General features: G+C 42.6%; 1 protein-coding gene across 8 annotated transcripts in view, besides 6 other annotated features; it reads left to right on the top strand.

The window, feature by feature from the left end:
• Nucleotides 6,567-7,108: an enhancer, noted in NCBI's record as "NANOG-H3K27ac-H3K4me1 hESC enhancer chr18:812904-813445 (GRCh37/hg19 assembly coordinates)". NCBI's record gives its function as "activates a minimal SCP1, AML or CMV promoter by ChIP-STARR-seq in naive H9 embryonic stem cells {active_cell/tissue: H9 hESC(naive)}" and the evidence as "EXISTENCE:reporter gene assay evidence [ECO:0000049][PMID:30033119]".
• Nucleotides 7,109-7,651: an enhancer, noted in NCBI's record as "NANOG-H3K27ac-H3K4me1 hESC enhancer chr18:812361-812903 (GRCh37/hg19 assembly coordinates)". NCBI's record gives its function as "activates a minimal SCP1, AML or CMV promoter by ChIP-STARR-seq in naive H9 embryonic stem cells {active_cell/tissue: H9 hESC(naive)}" and the evidence as "EXISTENCE:reporter gene assay evidence [ECO:0000049][PMID:30033119]".
• Nucleotides 7,109-7,892: a biological region, named in NCBI's record as "NANOG-H3K27ac-H3K4me1 hESC enhancer GRCh37_chr18:812361-812903".
• Nucleotides 7,258-17,758, top strand: part of YES1 (YES proto-oncogene 1, Src family tyrosine kinase) — a 91,166-nt gene continuing 80,665 nt past the window's right edge. For 2 of the 8 annotated variants that reach the window (XM_047437770.1, XM_024451244.2), the window contains exon 1: nucleotides 7,258-7,341. The gene's annotated coding sequence lies outside the window, so the exon portion shown is untranslated. Of the gene's footprint in view, nucleotides 7,342-7,440; nucleotides 7,628-7,768; nucleotides 7,898-17,758 lie in introns of those variants that run through there. The other 6 variants (XM_047437771.1, XM_024451246.2, XM_024451247.2 and 3 more) reach the window with 3 other exon arrangements.
• Nucleotides 7,383-7,892: a silencer, noted in NCBI's record as "silent region_9245". NCBI's record gives its function as "represses an Ori minimal core promoter by ATAC-STARR-seq in GM12878 lymphoblastoid cells {active_cell/tissue: GM12878}" and the evidence as "EXISTENCE:reporter gene assay evidence [ECO:0000049][PMID:35858748]".
• Nucleotides 7,943-8,002: a silencer, noted in NCBI's record as "silent region_9244". NCBI's record gives its function as "represses an Ori minimal core promoter by ATAC-STARR-seq in GM12878 lymphoblastoid cells {active_cell/tissue: GM12878}" and the evidence as "EXISTENCE:reporter gene assay evidence [ECO:0000049][PMID:35858748]".
• Nucleotides 8,073-8,162: a silencer, noted in NCBI's record as "silent region_9243". NCBI's record gives its function as "represses an Ori minimal core promoter by ATAC-STARR-seq in GM12878 lymphoblastoid cells {active_cell/tissue: GM12878}" and the evidence as "EXISTENCE:reporter gene assay evidence [ECO:0000049][PMID:35858748]".

Here is a 17,758-nt window from a genome sequence, read left to right as displayed (position 1 = left end):
TTTCACCATGTTGCCCTGGCTGGTCTCAAATTCTTGGGCCCAAGACATCCACCCGCCTTGGCCTCCCAAAGTGCTAGGATCACAGGCGTGAGCCACCGCACCCGGCCGTGGCTAGTTATTTTAATCAAAACAAATTTAAAACCAAATTAGGTATAAACTGAAAAAAACAGATTTTATTAGTCTCTAATGAAAACTTCCACGAGAAACCTATGGGTTTTTTACCCCCCGCACCGAGACAGAATCTTGCTCTGTCGCCTAGGCTAGAGTGCAGTGGCGCAATCTTAGCTCACCACAACCTCCGCCTCCCAGGTTCAAATGATTCTCCTGCCTCAGCCTCCTGAGTAGCTAGGATTACAGGCATGTACCACCACGCCTGGCTAATTTTTGTATTTTTAGTAGAGATGGGGTTTCACCATGTTGGTCAGGCTGGTCTTGAACTCCCGACCTCATGATCCCCCCCGCCTTGGCCTCCCAAAGTGCTGGGAGTACAGGTGTGAGACACCACTCCCAGCCTGACACCTATGCATTCAAATATAAACTTTCGCCGGTGGCGGTGTCTCACGCCTGTAATCCCAGCACTTTGGGAGGCCGAGGTGGGCGGATCACCTGAGGTCCGGAGTTCAAGACCAGCCTGACCAACATGGAGAAAACCCGTCTCTACTAAAAACACAAAATTCGCCGGGCATGGTGGTGCATTTCTGTAATCCCAGCTACTTGGGAGGCTGAGGCAGGAGAATTGCTTGAACCAGGGAGGTGGAGGTTGTGGTAAACTGAGATCGTGCCATTGCACTCCAGCCTGGGCACAAGAGCGAAACTTGGTCTCAAAAACAAACAAACAAAAAACCCATGAAGTTTGGTAGGATATTAATTTCCTTATCTCTGAAAATAAATTTTAATAAAGTATTTGAAAATCTATTAATGTTCACACTCCTTGGATTTCAGTACAATGTGTCCTGGTATTTATCTCTAAGTTAATAAAGTCATAAGATCTCTCTTGGCCAGGCACGGTGGCTCATGCCTGTAATCCCAGCACTTTGGGAGGCCTAGGCAGGTGGATCACGAGGTCAGGAGGTTGAGACCATCCTGGCTAACACAGTGAAACCCCGTCTCTACTAAAAAAAAATACAAAAAATTAGCCAGGCATGGTGGCGGGCGCCTGTAGTCCCAGCTACTTGGGAGGCTGAGGCAGGAGAATGGCATGAACCCGGAAAGCGGAGCTTGCAATGAGCTGAGATCGTGCCACTGCACTCCAGCCTGGGCAACAGAGAGAGGCTCCCTCTTGAGAAAAAAAAAATCTCTTAATATAGGCCAAAAGACACAGAATTTATCAGGAGGCACTCTGTTTTATGAATGAATGAGCTGATTTTTAAAATATTAAACAATCTTACCTAGTGTTGGGCTATTATTAACTGTTAATGACTTTTATCATTGAGTTACTATGGAAGGTTTAACTATACAGTTACACAGTCAGAGCAGATTAAAATACGAACCTTAATATTGACGTAACTTGGACATTTTGTATTTGGTAAGGTAATTTATGCATGTATATGGTCATTTCCCATATTTGGTTCTTTGTTGGAAGACCATGATTTTAGGTAGTGTCGATGGAAGTTTGACTTGATAGATGCAAATAACTAATCTCTCCAGAGAGTCATATTTAATACATGCTTTTTTTTCTGAAATGAATTCATTCTTTTTAGGCTAGTCTCTCATAAATCTGTTTGCTCCAACCCTTTCTTCGGGATGTGAGATTGTAATATAAAGAAGGATTTCCTTGAATTTGTACACTCTCACATTTCTTAGCTATATCTTCCTAATTTTAAAGGCAATTTACCCATTTTTATGATTCCAGAATTTAGAGAAATAATATTTTACATGGTCACTGAAATAACATTTAAAAATAATTTCTTTTTTGTAATCACAGTGACTTTGAGTAGAATAGGTTTTGGAGCATCTCCTCTTATTAGTTGTCTGTTGCTTAACCCCTCCAAGCCTGAGGCATCCAATCAGTAAATGGTGATAATACTACCAACCTCCAAGGTTATTGTGCAGATTCAGTGAATGATGTAGGTAAAGCACCTGGCATATAGTGAAGGCTCAATAAAAAGACAGCCATTGCCACTGCTGTTGTTTATCAATCCTCATGTCTGCACTGATTAATTCATTCATTCACATGACGTAAAACACCTTTCATCAAAGCATGGGTCTTACATTAAACATTTGTTGCATATGTGCTTTCCTTAGAAAAAAGAAACATTAAGTAGCTATTTCAAGTAATCAAAAGCCCTTTTCATATACAAGTCAAAGAAGATGAACATAGTTTGTTAATATTAAATGTTTTATTGTTTTTTGGTTTGTTTTTGAGACAAGAGTCTCACTCTGTCGCCCAGGCTGGAGTGCAGTGGCGTGATCTTAGCTCACTGCAACCTCTGACTCCCAAGTTCAAGCGATTCTCCTGCCTCAGCCTCCAGAGTAGCTGGGATTACAGGCGTGTACCATCATGCCTGGCTAATTTTTGTATTTTAGTAGAGAGGGGTTTTCACCATGTTGGCCAGGCTGGTCTCAAACTCCTGACCTCAAGTGATCCACCTGACTCAGCCTCCCAAAGTGCTGGGATTAGAGGCGTGAGCCACCGCGGCAGGCCTGTTTTACTCTTTACATCATATAATATCTCTAGTCAGAATTTAAAATTTGCTCAATGTGAAAAATAAGGATCTATACAGCCAAAAATGCATAAAGAAGATTTAGCCTTAGAGAGGAGATTAAAACAAGGTTTTCAAAAGCATGGATTTATTCTAAACACATTAAAAAAAAAACCCAGTTACAGTGTTACCTTGCAAAACATCTAATACAAATTTCCTTAATACTAACCTTTTATGTTTCATGATCTGATGTCCGTTAACTTTAAAGATAAGAGCTTGATTTATAGTTTCTTTTCTAAACACTCAATGCAGGTAAACAATCTACTTTAACTTCTTGCCTTCAAGCAATGTTATGTTCTACTTTTCATAACCCATTTGTAAAGATTTCCAGGAAGTAGCAATCTGGTAGCAATTTTACTGGTGTCTAAACTCAATGTCAGACACTGACACGACTATATATCAGCTTAATATTTCAGAAAAGTATGGGCCAAACACTTGCTAATGACTACAGAAATTGCAAATATAGACTCAGGAGGAAATTGTAAGCCGATAGGGCAGAGATATGAAATGGTTTTCAATGTATTCTAACTCCAGTTTTGCAGTGGCTGTTGCCTGAATTGTGTTGAGGATTCTGAGGATGGTATTAATGCTCTGGGGGAGAGTATATGCTATGCCATGGTCTAAAAGCCATGACTGCCATGGGCAAGCAGGAGGAGAGACTGACCTGCCAGCTCTGTTCTAGGTTTGGGGTCTTCTATGTGACAAAAGTCACAAGTCTCAAGTCTCAGTGTTGGGGTCCCACAATCTCTTATCTCCCACCTCTGGCTGTGCCTGCTTCATCCTCTGTGAAAACTGGATTCCCCATCCCACTCCCACTGCCTCTCCAAGCACGTGGCAGGAGATGCCACCCTCACAGCTCCTGAGTTTACTGTTGGCTGCACAAGTAAGTAGCAAAGACTAAGTAATGGTTTTCATTTGCAAAGAACAAAAATGGTCTCTATTGAAGCATAAAGGGAATTTATTGGAGGATGGTGAGAATCAACAGGAAGACTAGAGGAGCAGGCTCAGGCAGGAAGCAAGGAAGGCAAGACAAAGTCCAGGTTCTGCCACGGGGATGGTATGCTCATGACGCAGGCACCACCAGCACTGGAATCCTCTACCCCTGGACACTCATCTTCTGTCATTTGACTCAACTCCACCATGGTTACCATGAATAATCACTAACCGAGTTACTTTTGTGTTACTCCTCAAAATTCAAACTTTCAGCCTAGAACCTGGGATTAGCAGTACTCAGATCATAGGCCTACATGCCACCTATCGAAGAATTAATTCTCAGAGAAGAGGAACTTGAGTTAAACAGGCACCCTCAAGAGGTGTCCACTACAGGCTGTATTCTACTCGGCAGAGGGCATGTAAGAGGATGTAAGGTGCTCATCTGGCCTAGAAACTGCTGTCACCAAACAGAGTGAGAAACCAAGCTGAGCCTATGAAAGTCTGAAGCTGTGGGTAAAGCTACCTAGGAATAAGCAGAGTGGTACCAGAAGCTAGAGCTGAAACCAGGGACTTTGGTAGATAAAACAGGCCTGGGTCAAGCTGCAGAACTAGAAAGAATTGAAGTCAGAAATAAAACAAGAGATGTCCCCAAAGTAGATTCCAGTAGCAAAGACTATACTGCCAGAAAATAGTTCTGGAGCGGAGAAGGCATACTCAGCACAGGGTTAAATTCTAAGATTGTAAACCAGGTAGTGAAGAAGTGAAAAGCTAGAGAGAGCAACAAAAGGGAGCAAGATGGAGACAGACTTGCTGAAGTTCATGTAAGATTGCCATGTTTGACATTTATTAATTGCAAGACACATTTGATTGACAAATATTCATTGCAGGATATGTCCTTCTATATCCATTTATTTATTTATTTATTTATTTATTTTGAGACGAAGTTTTGCTCTTTCACCCAGGCTGGAGTGAAGTGGCATGATCTCAGCTCACTGCAACCTCTGCCCCCGGGGTTCAAGCAATTCTCCTGCCTCAGCCTCCCGAGTGGCTGGGATTACAGACGCATGCCACCATGCCTGGCTAATTTTTGTATTTTTTTTTTTTCAGTAGAGACAGGGTTTCAACATGTTGGCCAGGCTGGTCTCAAACTCTTGACCTCAGGTGATCCACCCACCTCAGCATCCCAAAGTGCTAGGATTACAAGCTAAGCCACCGCGCCTGGCCCTCAATATACATTTACTTAGGTCGCTTAGACAGTCTTTTCCCAGTTGAGGGGAAATAAAACTGTAATATAGAAACCACAGTCCTTGAGGCAATGAAGACATCAGGAGCATTGAGAACTTGATGAGTTGGTGCATTTCTCCACTGAGCTTGGCACAATAGGCCCAACACTCAAGGAGAAATACCTTCCTTTTTCCTGATCTTCCAAATTAATCCTTAGAGAGGGGTTCTCATATTCTTCCTAACTGGGCATAGGAGCAGTCTTGGCCAGGTGGAGGCGGCAAAGCTAAGGTGGTGCAGACAATGTCAGGCACTGAATGGATTTGAGGAAGGTGGTGAGGGGATGGTTGTTAGAAAAGAGGCACCTTGTGTAGGGCTGCAGGCTTTTTTACTGTTACCAGGAAGAGAAAATCATCATAGCCTCAGTGGCGGAAGCAGCAGCAGCAGCATATCACTGATAGCACGTAGGAGAGGTTTACCCTAAACAAAAACATTTCCTGGTAGAATCACAGGTTCCAAGGTGGTACTGAGTGGGCCCTAGTTCAACTTTCAGCTTTTCAAACTTCCAGCCAAATAATTTTAAGCATTAATCAACTTACATAAATGAAAGCATTTTACTTTTATAGGGACCTAACATATCTCATAAAGTTTGTTTGTTTAAAGCTTTCCCCTAGCTTTTTCCTCCAGCAGACATTTCCAGGGGTTTCAAGACTTAAGTTCCTTATCACTCCCTAACACACATGTACATACCACACCTCTATGCTGTGCAGGAGGGAAAAGTAGGGGCAAGCTTATTTGTCCGTTTCAGGATGAACAGATTAAAAGCAATTTTTGTTACACCAAACTCAGTAAGACTTTCCAGTTTTCTCTTCCTCATTAAAAAATTTTTTAAAAAATATTCCTGGAAACAAGTGAGCCACTAAATGTAAGATTGAAAACTTTCCAGGTTATTTACAGACTGAAGTTTGACATTGATGAATATACTAAAAAAGAAATCAGGGAATGTAGTAATAAAAAAAAAAAGGGAGGGCGAAGAGAAGCAAACTCAGTAAGTCAATGTAATCCATAACTTGTAGGTGACATTCTGACATACTCTCCCAACTTTAAAACTCCATATAGAACATCTTCAAAGCCACCTTACCCCTTAAACTGGGGCAAACTACTATTTCATTTCATTATTATTTTTTAAAATATATTTTACTAAATAGATAGGAGGTCTCCCATGTTGCCCAGGCTGGTCTCCAACTCCTAGACTCAAGTGATCCTCCTGTCTTGGACTCCCAGAATGCTGGGGTTACACGTGTGAGCCACTGTGCCCGGCCTATTTTAGAGGTGATTTTTGAGACTGAGTGTTTAGGAAGACGAAATTATCTCTATTTAGTGAAGAAAGGCAACAGCTCAAGGAATTTTCTATTTTAATAAAAGCTGAATATAGACCTACATAAAATTTTAAAGCCCTGAGACAGTCAATGACAAATGAAGTTTTAGTAGCTAAGAAAATACAGCATCGTTCCACATTATGTGTCTCTTTAACGCCTACGCCTACCTTTCGTTCATTTAGTGAGCTGAAGAAAAAAATGTTCAAACCCTTATATGCATTTCCTTAAGTTCCTAGAATACCGGAATACTGACACATATGATTGCACTATTTCCTATCCGTCGAAGATGATTCTGAATTTCACTAAAAACCGCAAAGGAAACCAATAGTCACAAAATAATTCTGATAACCCCACCAAAGAGGAAATAAAGAGAGGAAGTTACTCTAAAAGTCTGATAGGGCAAAAGTGACTGCAGCAGAAGGGCCTCAAGGTTCAGTCCATGAGGACCTTGATTAACCTTCATCTTTACGCCCCCACCCCATCCTTCCGGGTCCTCCCCCTTCTTCAACGACTGGCTTTACAAGGCTCATAGGAAAGGTGCGTGTATTCAGACGGACACGATTCCAGCTGTGGCTCCTCCACTTTCAGGGTCGCTGTTTCCACAGTTGACAAGCAGGAGAACCATACTTGTTGCACTTCCCTCACTGGGCTGCCGCCAGCATCATATAGAAAAACGCTGTCCCAACATAAGCCAAAGCCACCATGACTGGGATAGTCGCCAAACAGAACTCAGCTTCGGTTCCCCTCCCGGCAAGGCTGGTTCGACCTACAGTCAACAGGAAGCTCCTGGGGGCAGGGACAGGATCCCTGCCTCGGAAGGAGGCAAGACGTGAACGTTTTTTGGACGGCGATCAGGATGGTGATGAGGGTGTGAGTAACGCCCCCGGCTCACGCGGTTGGGCTTGAGATTTTACTACCAACGACAAAGGGTGCGGAAGCGTAGCGCTGAGAAGCAAACAGCCAACCAAAAAAACTCAACCCCGTCCTCCCCCACAAAAGCAAGCCCCAAAGCCCTGGCCACTACTGAGAGCTGGGCCAAGGAACAGAGAAAGGCAGAGGGGCAGAATCGGAGCGCTCCATTCAATCTCCGCGGCAGCCGAGCGTCGGTGGGTTCGCGGGTGGGAAGGGACGCCGCGGGCCTGCTCTCCGGGCAGGGAAGCACCTCCTCCTCACGCCCCCTCGGCCTGCACCGCCCCCGGGAATCCGCCCCGGACCCCGCCGCCATGTTGGGTCGGGAGAAGTGACACGGACCGGTCGCCTATCCTGACCACAGCAAAGCGGCCCGGAGCCCGCGGAGGGGACCTGACGGGGGCGTAGGCGCCGGAAGGCTGGGGGCCCCGGAGCCGGGCCGGCGTGGCCCGAGTTCCGGTGAGCGGACGGCGGCGCGCGCAGGTACCCGCAGCCCCCGCCCCCGCTAGAAGTCAGGGGGCGGGGCCGGGGGGGGGGGGCGGAGGAGGTGGAGAGTGAGGCCGAGGCGTGGGGAGCCCGGGAACTCCCTCCTCCTGAAGTAACGCGTCCCGGGCCGGCTCTGCCGTCGTTGCTGCCGCCGGGCGCCCCGGGACGAGGAGGTGGAGGAGGGAGAGGGCCCGCGGGCCTCGCCTCCGCCCTCCGCCACCTCGAGCTGCGGTAGCAGCGACTCATGAGAGCGCGGCCGGAGGACAGGTAAGGACCCGGTGGGGCCCCGCGGGCGGAGGGTTCCACCTCTGCCCGGACAGGGCTAGGCCCCAGCGCCCGGAGCCGCCGCCGCCGCCGCCGCCGCGGTTCCCCGCCCCCGCGGGCCCGAGTCGGGAAGTTGGGAAGAAACTTCTCCCCTCCCCCGGATCGCCCGGCGGGCTTGTCTCGTTCCCCGCGCTACCTGCTCGCCCCTGACTCGGTCTCTGCCCTGTCCAGACCTGCCGGGTCCCGCCCAAGTCCGACCTGAGGTTCCAGGGGCGTGGGGACACTCCCCACCCCTTGTCTTTGGGGTCGTGTGGACCGCCCGGCGACGGGGAGGAGAGGTTTATTTTTGCCCCTACGGCCGAAGTAGGGGCGAGGGAAGCGGCCCCTTTGGGTCCTAAAGGCTGGGGGTCTGTGTATCGGCCGACGCCGGTAGCAGCTGTGCGGGGAGAGGAGCGGGTGTGTGGGGCGAGTGGATGAGCCTTTCTGGCTTTACTTGGTTTGATTGAAAACCGCAACATGTTTAAAGTTTTCCTTTGTTTTGGGTTGGGGGTTGGGAAATTTACCATTCAGCGTCCACTTTTACGGAATCATGCCACTCCGCCTCCCGTTGCGTTCGGTTCCCTGTCCACATGTGTTAAAGAAAATTGTCTTAAAGTGTGTTTTTCTTCTTGATAATTGCTTCCAGCTTTCACTTTATTGGGCATGGGGCAGAGCTGTTTTAAGAAGCTCTTTGAAAATCAAGTCTGGTGTAGGGACTTTAGTTTTTGTTTTGTAATGAGTAGGACTTAACAGTTCGGATTTGGTTGAATCATTTTCTGCATAATTAATTGATACAGGCGTGGAATAACATACTGTATAATTATAAATTACTAAAGGAAATAATGAAAGTCTTTGGTGGAAGCACAATTTTATGTCCATTTATTATGTATATACGTTCCACGGGTGTGTGTTTTCACAGTCGATTTCACATGATATGATTATAGTATCTTCATGTATTATAACTGTAAGATTACAGTGCCAAAGATACCTTGATAATTTTAAATATTTAAACCATCCTGTTACACTTCTAAAGTTAAATTACGCACTAAGGAAAGTATTACTAAATGTATACACGTGACTGTGCATTTAAGGAAAAGTGCATGGTAAATCTAATATCTTAACTATCACAGTGCTTGGCACACGGTGGACAGGAAGCATTTTGAATGGTCAGGTAATAAAGGAGTATCTTGTATTAGCCAAGGATCTTGTATGCATCACTTACGATGTTCATATATTGTACAGTAAGAAAGTTTTACTTTAGCAAATAATATATATGGTTTTTTGGTTTTTGTTTGTTTGCTTATAAGTGTGAGACCCCTGCCACAATTGACATGTAAGGAAAGGAAGTTAAATTGTATTTTTATTTTTGGACATTAGCTAAAAGTCGGTGGAGATTTTAAATGCTGGTTGACAATTCAGAGGGTCCTACATTTGAAAAAGACAATTGCCTTTGATCTGAAAACAAAACAGTTTATATCCATGTTTCCAGGATAAAAGATAAAAGGGCTCTTAAAATATATACTCTGTTGTAACCACTGTAATGTTATAATGGCTTTAATTTCGTAGTTAGGTTTTGCTGACTTCATAAACCACAAAATTGATTCCTTTCTGTTCATCTGAAAGTGAAATTACAGCTTTGACCTGTCTTCCTGGGTTAGGTGGAATTTGTCTTGTGGTCGAAGTATAATATTAATACATGGGCTGTTTTTGTGTGTGTGTTTTAGTTCAGGAAATTCACAAGCTGAAAAATTAATGTCTATGCAAGTAAAATTTCTTCATGGTATGTATTGATAAAAGAATAAATGTGCTAAAAGACTAGAAGTAAACCTGTATAAGTGAAATATTACCAACCGATGGTGTAAGACTTACTTATTCAAAGTTGAAATTTGCATCATGTTAGACAGTAAATGATTTACTACTATGGCTAGTTTTTCTTTACAAAATCAGTGTAGACATCGTTTATTCTATTAGCATTATAGTAAGAAAGAAGACTAATGCCAAAACAATTTTTTAAGTGATGCTAAGCGCTGGGGTCACCCAAACTTGGGTAATTAAAAAAAAAAAAAAACCTGCAAGGAAATTCTGTGAACGTAAAAATAGAAGCATAGAATACCTGTGGTTCTATGAAGGGAAATATATGGGAAGAGGGAGGAGATTGTGATAGGGACCTGGCTTCTGAAGTGGTGACAAAGTTCTTTTAACCTGGTAGGAGTTACCAAGGGTATTGGTCTTAGTGTAATTCATTAAGCCCTACGTTTGTGTGCAGAATCTGTTTCTATGTTTTATTTTACATGAATTTGTTGTTGTTTTTTTAAGGAATCCAGTGTGTAATGTCTATATAAGGTGCTTGGTTTAAGAACATAACTTGGTGGCTGACTTTCGAACACTACCTAGGCTATCCTTTGCAAATAGGATTAGATTTATTAAATCATAATTGTCATATACCAGCTGTATGTATAACTACTTTGAACACGTCAGGCTGGGCACGGTGGCTCACACCTGTAATCCCAGCACTTTAGGAGGCAGAGGGAAGGGGATCACTTGAGGCCAGCAGTTTGAGACCAGCCTGGCCAACGTGGTGAAACCCCATCTCTACTAAAAAGTACAAAAATTATCTGGGTGTGGTGGCGCGCCCCTGTAATCCCAGCTACCTGGGAGGCTGAGGCACGAGAATCGCTTGAACCCGGGAGACAGAGATTGCGGTGAGCTAAGATAGTGCCAGTGCATTGCAGCCTGGGCAACAGAGTGAGACTGTCTCCAAAAAAAAAAGTCAAATACTCCGAAATGTACAATAATTAGAGAATTTTTGGGAAAAAATTTCTAAATAAAGTTCTAGTTCGTTTTCTTTAATAACTTAATTGTTTTAATATTTTCACAGAAGACACAGGTTTTACAAAATTAAAATCCGCTTCGGCTTGTATGTTGTAAATAACCAATAGAAGATAATCAAAATGTTTATTGAACGAATGGATACTGTTCTGTCATCAAATACTCTGTTTTTCTGAAAATTACATAACATGACAATTAAAACTCAAAACTCAATTACGGCATCAAGATCCTAAGTTTTGACTTTTATCTATTTTCGGTTTTCTAGAACAGTAATTCTTTAGATCAGTAATTTCAGCCTTAGTTTTTCTATTCTTAAGAATGCCATGAAATCTCAGCATAAAATAAGTTTTTGTTTAAAGTTTATGAAGATTCACAGCACCTGAAGGATGAATATGTTTTGGTTCAAAAGGCAAATGACAATATGGTGTTGGAGTTTCAGAAATGCAGAGAATCATTGGGTCATGCTATTTTATTTGCTTTATGTAATGGCTTGCTATTTTAGTGGTTGATATTGTGGCTTTGCATTGTTGTAGAGTTGAAGAAGAGATCTCATCTGTGCCAAATTTTTATATCACAGGAACTTTCAGTCATGTTATAAAGGTGATGTTTGTGGTGCACGCTTTGTTGTGTGAATATTTACAGGAAGTTTTAGTAAGATCTTCCATTGTTTAGAACCCTACATGGCTTAGGTCACCTTCAGTTCACATTTAAACAGTTTTATAATATAAGTCCTATAGCGAGGCACAACTGCTTTTCTTTAAAGGAAATAATCTGTTTCTATTAAAGTGTCTTGTCTTATTGGTAGTTCGTGTATGGCTATGGTAGGGTATGTATTATCTCTTTTCTTCCTCTCAGCTGCTCCAGTGCCACAATTAGGCTGAGTATTGCTCAGCTGCAGCTGCTGGGTGATTACTAACCATCCAGCTCCTGTCTAAACTCAGAGGCAGATTTAGCAAAAGGAGCTATAGTAACAGTAGAGGGTGAAAGAGAAGAGCCAGTGCTGCCGCCAATATCGTTTTCACATGTCTGTATGCCAAGGAATCGTTGGCTGCAGCAGCACTACTGTTGTCTTGGAACTAGCAGACTTGATGGCAATATATCCTGGTCTGCGTTGGGTTTACCTTTAAGATCTGAAAGCCCACTCCAGGAAAGACAGAGAATCCTGTAATTTTAGAGTATAGAATAATGTACTGTTGAGGTACTAATGGACTGAGTTACAAGCCTCTGTGCCTCAACTCCTTTTCCCCCCCAAATCTAGGGTAGCAATGCCCTTCAGTTTCTCTTGTTCAAATGTACAGTAAGCTGTGAGACTGCAGGTTCCTTGAAGCATTATACTTCATTTCACTTTAAGCTGTGATTCTTAGAATTGCTTCTTTTATTGTTGTTTAGGGGAGGGGAGTAGAATTGCTGGCATATAGGTTCTTTGGACTCTACTTTCTCCTAGGAAGTGGAAGGCCTTCAAGAGGGATAACTTCTAGAATTAGCTATACATTGCATATCCGTGGTGGCTGCCTGAATTTTGCTAGTAGGAACTCTGCATTCTTTTCCTTTTGTTCTTTCTTTATCCCTGGCGTTTGAGAAGATGGACATCAACAGTTGCAAATACGTTATCAGCTATATATGGCAATCCCCAGACTGGAAGATGCCATAGGCAAATTTTGCTGCTTCTAAAATGCTGCTCAGCTTATAAATATGCCAAGCAAATAGCAGCAGTCGCATCTTTTGTGTTTTTGTGTTTTGCTTTGTTTTTGAGACAGGATCTTGCTCTGTTGCCCAGACTGGAGTGCAGTGGTGCAGTCACAGCTCACCGCAGCCTTGACCTCTGGGGCCCAAGGGATCCTCCCACTTTAGCCTCCTGAGTAGCTCGGACCACAGGTGTGCACCACCATGCCTGGCTAATTTTTTTTTTTTTTTTTTGATGAAGTATCACTCTACTGCCCAGGCTGGTGTGCAATGGCACGATCTTGGCTCACTGCAACCTCTGCCTCCCAGGTTCAAGTGATTCTCCTGCCTCAGCCTCCCGAGTAGCTGGGATTGCAAGCGTGCACCACCACGCCCGGCTAATTTTTGTACTTTTAGTAGAGACAGGGTTTCACCATGTTGGCCAGACTGGAGCATGCCTGGCTAATTTTTGAATTTTTTGGAGAGATGGGGTCTCACCGTGTTGTCCAGGCTGGTCTCAAATTCTTAGGCTCCAGCAGTCCACCTGCCTGGGCCTCCCGAAATGCTGGGATTACAGGCCACCACACCCAGCCACAGCAGCGTCTTGTCCTTACTTTTACCACTACTATCTACTGAAAATCTGGAGATATTCCTTTGACTTATCTTGTCTTTGGAATTTGGTAGTTTGGGGTTTGGCATTTGGGATGGAGATTAGAGAGGATTGAGAAAAGTAGTGCTCAAACTTGTATAACCAGAGGAAGGATGAGGTACAGTTAGACCATGCATTTGAACAGTAAGAAGTACACATCATTATGGCATATACTTAGCAAGAGATTGGTGTTATGACCTCTTTGTGCTCCCACAAAACACTTATGTCAAAACACACCTCTCCTTGCACTGTAATTATTTCTTTCCATGCTTGTCTGTTATTCTTGACCTAGTATTCACTGTGTCAAGGAACTGTTTTATAGCAATCTTTGAGAACAGCCCTTAGCACAATAAATACTAAATAAATTCTGAATTGTATGTAGGGATGTGGTTCTGGGCAGATTTATATGAATTACAGCTATGGACTTTTCGCAAACAAAACAAATCTTTTGAGTACACCTCTACTAAAATGTTATAAAACTAGCTTAATACTTTTTCATAGCTCGAAGTTAATTCTTTAGATTTTTGCTCTCAAGGTTTTGTTCTAGAAGGTGATTTTACAAAATAGCTTAAGCAGTCCTTCAAATATGAATTTAAAGGTCATTTTGATATTTCTAATATGAACTGAAAATTCATTGTAGTTGAAGTTAAACTAGTCTCTAGTAAGGTTTATTTTAAATAAATACGTTGTACTATTTTAGTGAAGAAAGTCCAAGTTATGCTGAAGAAAAATCCTAGATTTTTAAAAAATGCATTTGGTATCTCATCACAGTAGTGACAATCAGTATTACAATTATGACTTGTTCATATATACCTAGGACAAAAAGAAAAAGAAGTCCTGATTTTCTTGCAGTAATGTGTGTGAAGGAATGCATAATTCATAGGTGTACTTTTGCTGGGTTATTGGGGGTGAGGACGGAACAGGAAGTGCTAGGAGGAAAAGTACTGACCCCTGAAACTTCAAGATTGTCTGGTTTTCAGCCTCTATTCCCAGCAAAATGTGGATTCTAGGTTTTCTTCAACTGACTTAAGAGGATTTTCACTTCTCTAATTTTTTAATGTAACTTTTCAGTTTCTTAGCATTAAGTAGAAATTGGGGTGAGGTGAGGAAGTTGGTGGTGGTTGTGTATAAGTTAATACTTCACATTGTTTCCTGGCGAATGTATTGACTTCTAACTTTTGTTCTGATGTGATTAATATTTTACAGATAAGGATACTTTAAAAATAATAGCAGCCAGACATTTGGAAGGAGCAGAGAAGGCAATATGGTGTTATAAGGAAAGGACTGGAAGGTAGAGCACTAACACTATCTAGATTTTAGTTTCATTTCTGACAGTGAAGAGCTGTTTAGCCTTGGTCGATTCAGTAAACTCCCTAGGCGTTAGTTTTGCAATTTGAAACAAAAGGTAGTTGGGCCTCATGGTTTCTAATAGTTTCTCAGCTTTATATATAAATGTGTGCTCTGCCGCAGTTGAAGTTGTTACAATATAGTCATGCTCTGCCTAAGGAAGTTTCAATGATGGTGATCCTGTAAGATTATAGTAGAGCTGCCCTATATAGGTGTACCATTTTTTATTTTTTTATACTGTGTAATTACTGTATCTCTTCTACATTTAGTTATGTTTAAATACACAAATACTGTTACAGTTGCCTGCAGTATTCTGTACAGTTGTGTGCTGTACAGGTTTGTAGCCTGAGAGAAATAGGCCATACTATATGGCCCAAGGTTGTAGTCAGCTATACCACGTAGGTTTGTGTAAGTACACTCTAGAGTGTTCACATAATGTCAGAATTGCCTAATGAGGCATTTCTCAGAATATATGTTAAGTGATGCATGACCGTATTGATAAAATTTTAAGGAAATGTTTGAGTCTAAAATTTGGAATCACATTAGATATAAGTAAAGATTATAAAAAACTGACCCATGGACTTGACACGGAACTTTCTCAAGCAAATTGCAGTTCTACTAATTAAGCAAACATTTATACTACTATGCTAGGTTTTTGGTTTGTGTTTTTTTTTTTTGAGTCAGAGTCTCACTCTGTCGCCCAGGCTGGAGTGCAGTGGCTTGATCTCAGCTCACTACAACCTCAGCCTCCTGGGTTCAAGTGATTCTCCTGCCTCAGCCTCCCAAGTAGCTGGGATTACAGGCGTGTGCCACCACACCCGGCTAATTTTTGTGTTTTTAGTAGAGAATGGGATTTCTCCATGTTGGTCAGGCTGGTCTCCAACTCCCTATCTCAGGTGATCCGCCCGCCTTGGCCTCCCAAAGTGCCAGGCTTACAGGTGTGAGCCACCTCAGCTGGCCTTTTTTTTTTTTTTTTTTTTTGAGACTCAGTCTCACTCTATTGCCCAGGCTGGAGTGCAGTGGTGCAATCTCGGCTCACTGCAACCTCTGCCTCCCGGGTTCAAGCAATTCTCCCTGCCTCAGCCTCCTCAGTAGCTGGGATTACAGGTGTGTGCCACCACACCCAGCTAATTTTCTTATTTTTAGTAGAGATGGGGGTTTCACCATGTTGGCCAGGCTGGTCTCGAACTCCTGACCTCAGGTGATCTGCCTGCCTTGGCCTCCCAAAGTATTGGGATTACAGGCGTGAGCCACTGTGCCTAGCCCAGATTTTTTCGTAATAAAATTAGAAAAATGACTTAATTATTCTGTTGAAGTGGATAGTTATGATGTCAGTTAACAAGTAATCGTGGCTATTTGAATAAAAACTTTGCAACATTATATGAGAAAAATAGCCACTATCATCAAAATTTACATTTAATTTTTTTAATTGACAAAGGTATGGACAACTTGTTCTGGATATTTGTCTTTATACACATACAGTTAATATTTAGAACAAGACAAGCATGGCATTGGAAAATGGTTAGCCTTTTAAGGTTTGTAAAATAGATTTTCTAAAACAAAGAAACTAAAATTACAGTGTTCTGAAAGTTTGTAAGTTGATGTTTTGAAAATTAGAATCTGTTTTTCCAGGAAGTCTTTTCTGTAACATAAGCCTTTTGGCCTGATTTCTAGGCAGCCCGTTGGAGTCTTATAAAAGCCTCACAAATAGGTAAAATAATACTTTGGTGGTAAAATATTTTCTGACTGATTATCAGTTTTTGCCTGGTTTTTGTTAACTGCTGAGCTCTTTGAACAAATAAAATATTTGGCCTACAAGTGCTCTGATTATGAGGTGGGTGAACCTGTAGCCTTGCCAGTCACCCTCCTTTCCCACCTTACCAGCTCCTCACTATTTAAAAATCACTGTTTTGAGTTCCCTGTTAGGAGACTCAGATTCTCCCAATAAGGCATTGCTATTAAGCTTAATTTAAGTACAGAAACTTCCCTAGGTTTCCCCACCTGCTTGCTAGTGGCAGTGAAACCTGCCTCATACTCTAACCCTATAGGACAGTATGAGGTATAGAAAAGCTTCAAAAGATTGGGGGTAATAAACAAAAATAGTAGAAAAGGGTTTGGGAAAATGAGGAGTGTTACAATATGGAGTTTGTAACTTCTTTACCTTCTCTGTGCTTTTTTTATTTCCCACCCATTCACCTCACTTTGGCATTGGGTAGGGAAAGAAGAAAGCCTGTCCTATGATAGGTGCTATGCCATACTTTTATATGCATTATCACATTTGACTTGAATCTTTGAAATGTGTTTCCAAAATACACAGAAAAATTAGGAATGAGATGGGTATTTATTTTTTGTTTTTGAGACGGAGTCTCACTCTGACACCCAGGCTGGAATGAAGTGGCAAAACCTTGGCTCACTGCAACTTCTGCCTCCCAGGTTCAAGTGATCCTCCCACCTTGGTCTCTGAGTAGCTGCTGGGACCACAGTTGTGAGCCACCATGCCCAGCTAATTTTTTTTTTAATTTTTAAAATTCAAAATTTCTCACCATGTTGCTCAGACTGATCTTAAACCCCCTAGGCTCAAGGGATCCTCCCGCCTCGGCCTCCCAAAGTGCTGGGAAAACAGGTGTGAGCCACCATGCCCAGCCTGTTTTTTATTTTTATTTTTTTTTAGAATAGAGACAGGGTTTCACCTTGTTGCCCAGGCTGTCTCGAACTCCTGGGCTCAAGCGATCCACTTGCCTCAACCTCCCGAAGTGCTAGGATTATAGGTGTGAGCCACTGTGCTGGGCCCCTTGAGGTAGGTATTTATTACAGATAAAGAAACTGAGAATCAGAAAGTATATATAATTTGCTAAGGTCACACAACCGGCAGAACTGGGATTTAAACCTAGGGCTGACTACAAGCCTGTTCCATATGCCATAACTTTCTTAGGAATGAGGAGCAATGATGGAAAGGGAGATTTCTTGTCTTTTTTCTTCTTCATTAAATAGTACATTTGAATTGCTGGCAGAGAATGTTCAATTAATACTTTTTTTTTTTTTTTTTGAGATGGAGTTTCACTCTTGTTGCCCAGGCTGGGGTGCAATAGTGTGGTCTCCGCTCACTGCAACCTCTGCCTCCCAGGTTCAAGCGATTCTTCTGCCTCAGCCTCCTGAGTAGCTGGGATTACAAGCGTGCACCACCTTGCCTGGCTAATTTTTTGTATTTTTAGTCAGGCTGGTCTGGAACTCCCGACCTCAGGTGATCCACCTGCCTTGGCCTCCCAGAGTGCTGGGATTACAGGCATGAGCCACCACGCCTGGCAATACTTTCTAATTATTTTATTTTCTTTCTTTTT

This window comes from Homo sapiens, chromosome 18, assembly GCF_000001405.40.
Source record: "Homo sapiens chromosome 18, GRCh38.p14 Primary Assembly".
Classification (NCBI taxonomy): Eukaryota; Metazoa; Chordata; class Mammalia; order Primates; family Hominidae; genus Homo; species Homo sapiens.
The sequence above is the reverse complement of the archived record's forward strand: the minus strand, read 5'-3'. Positions and strand labels throughout refer to the sequence as shown.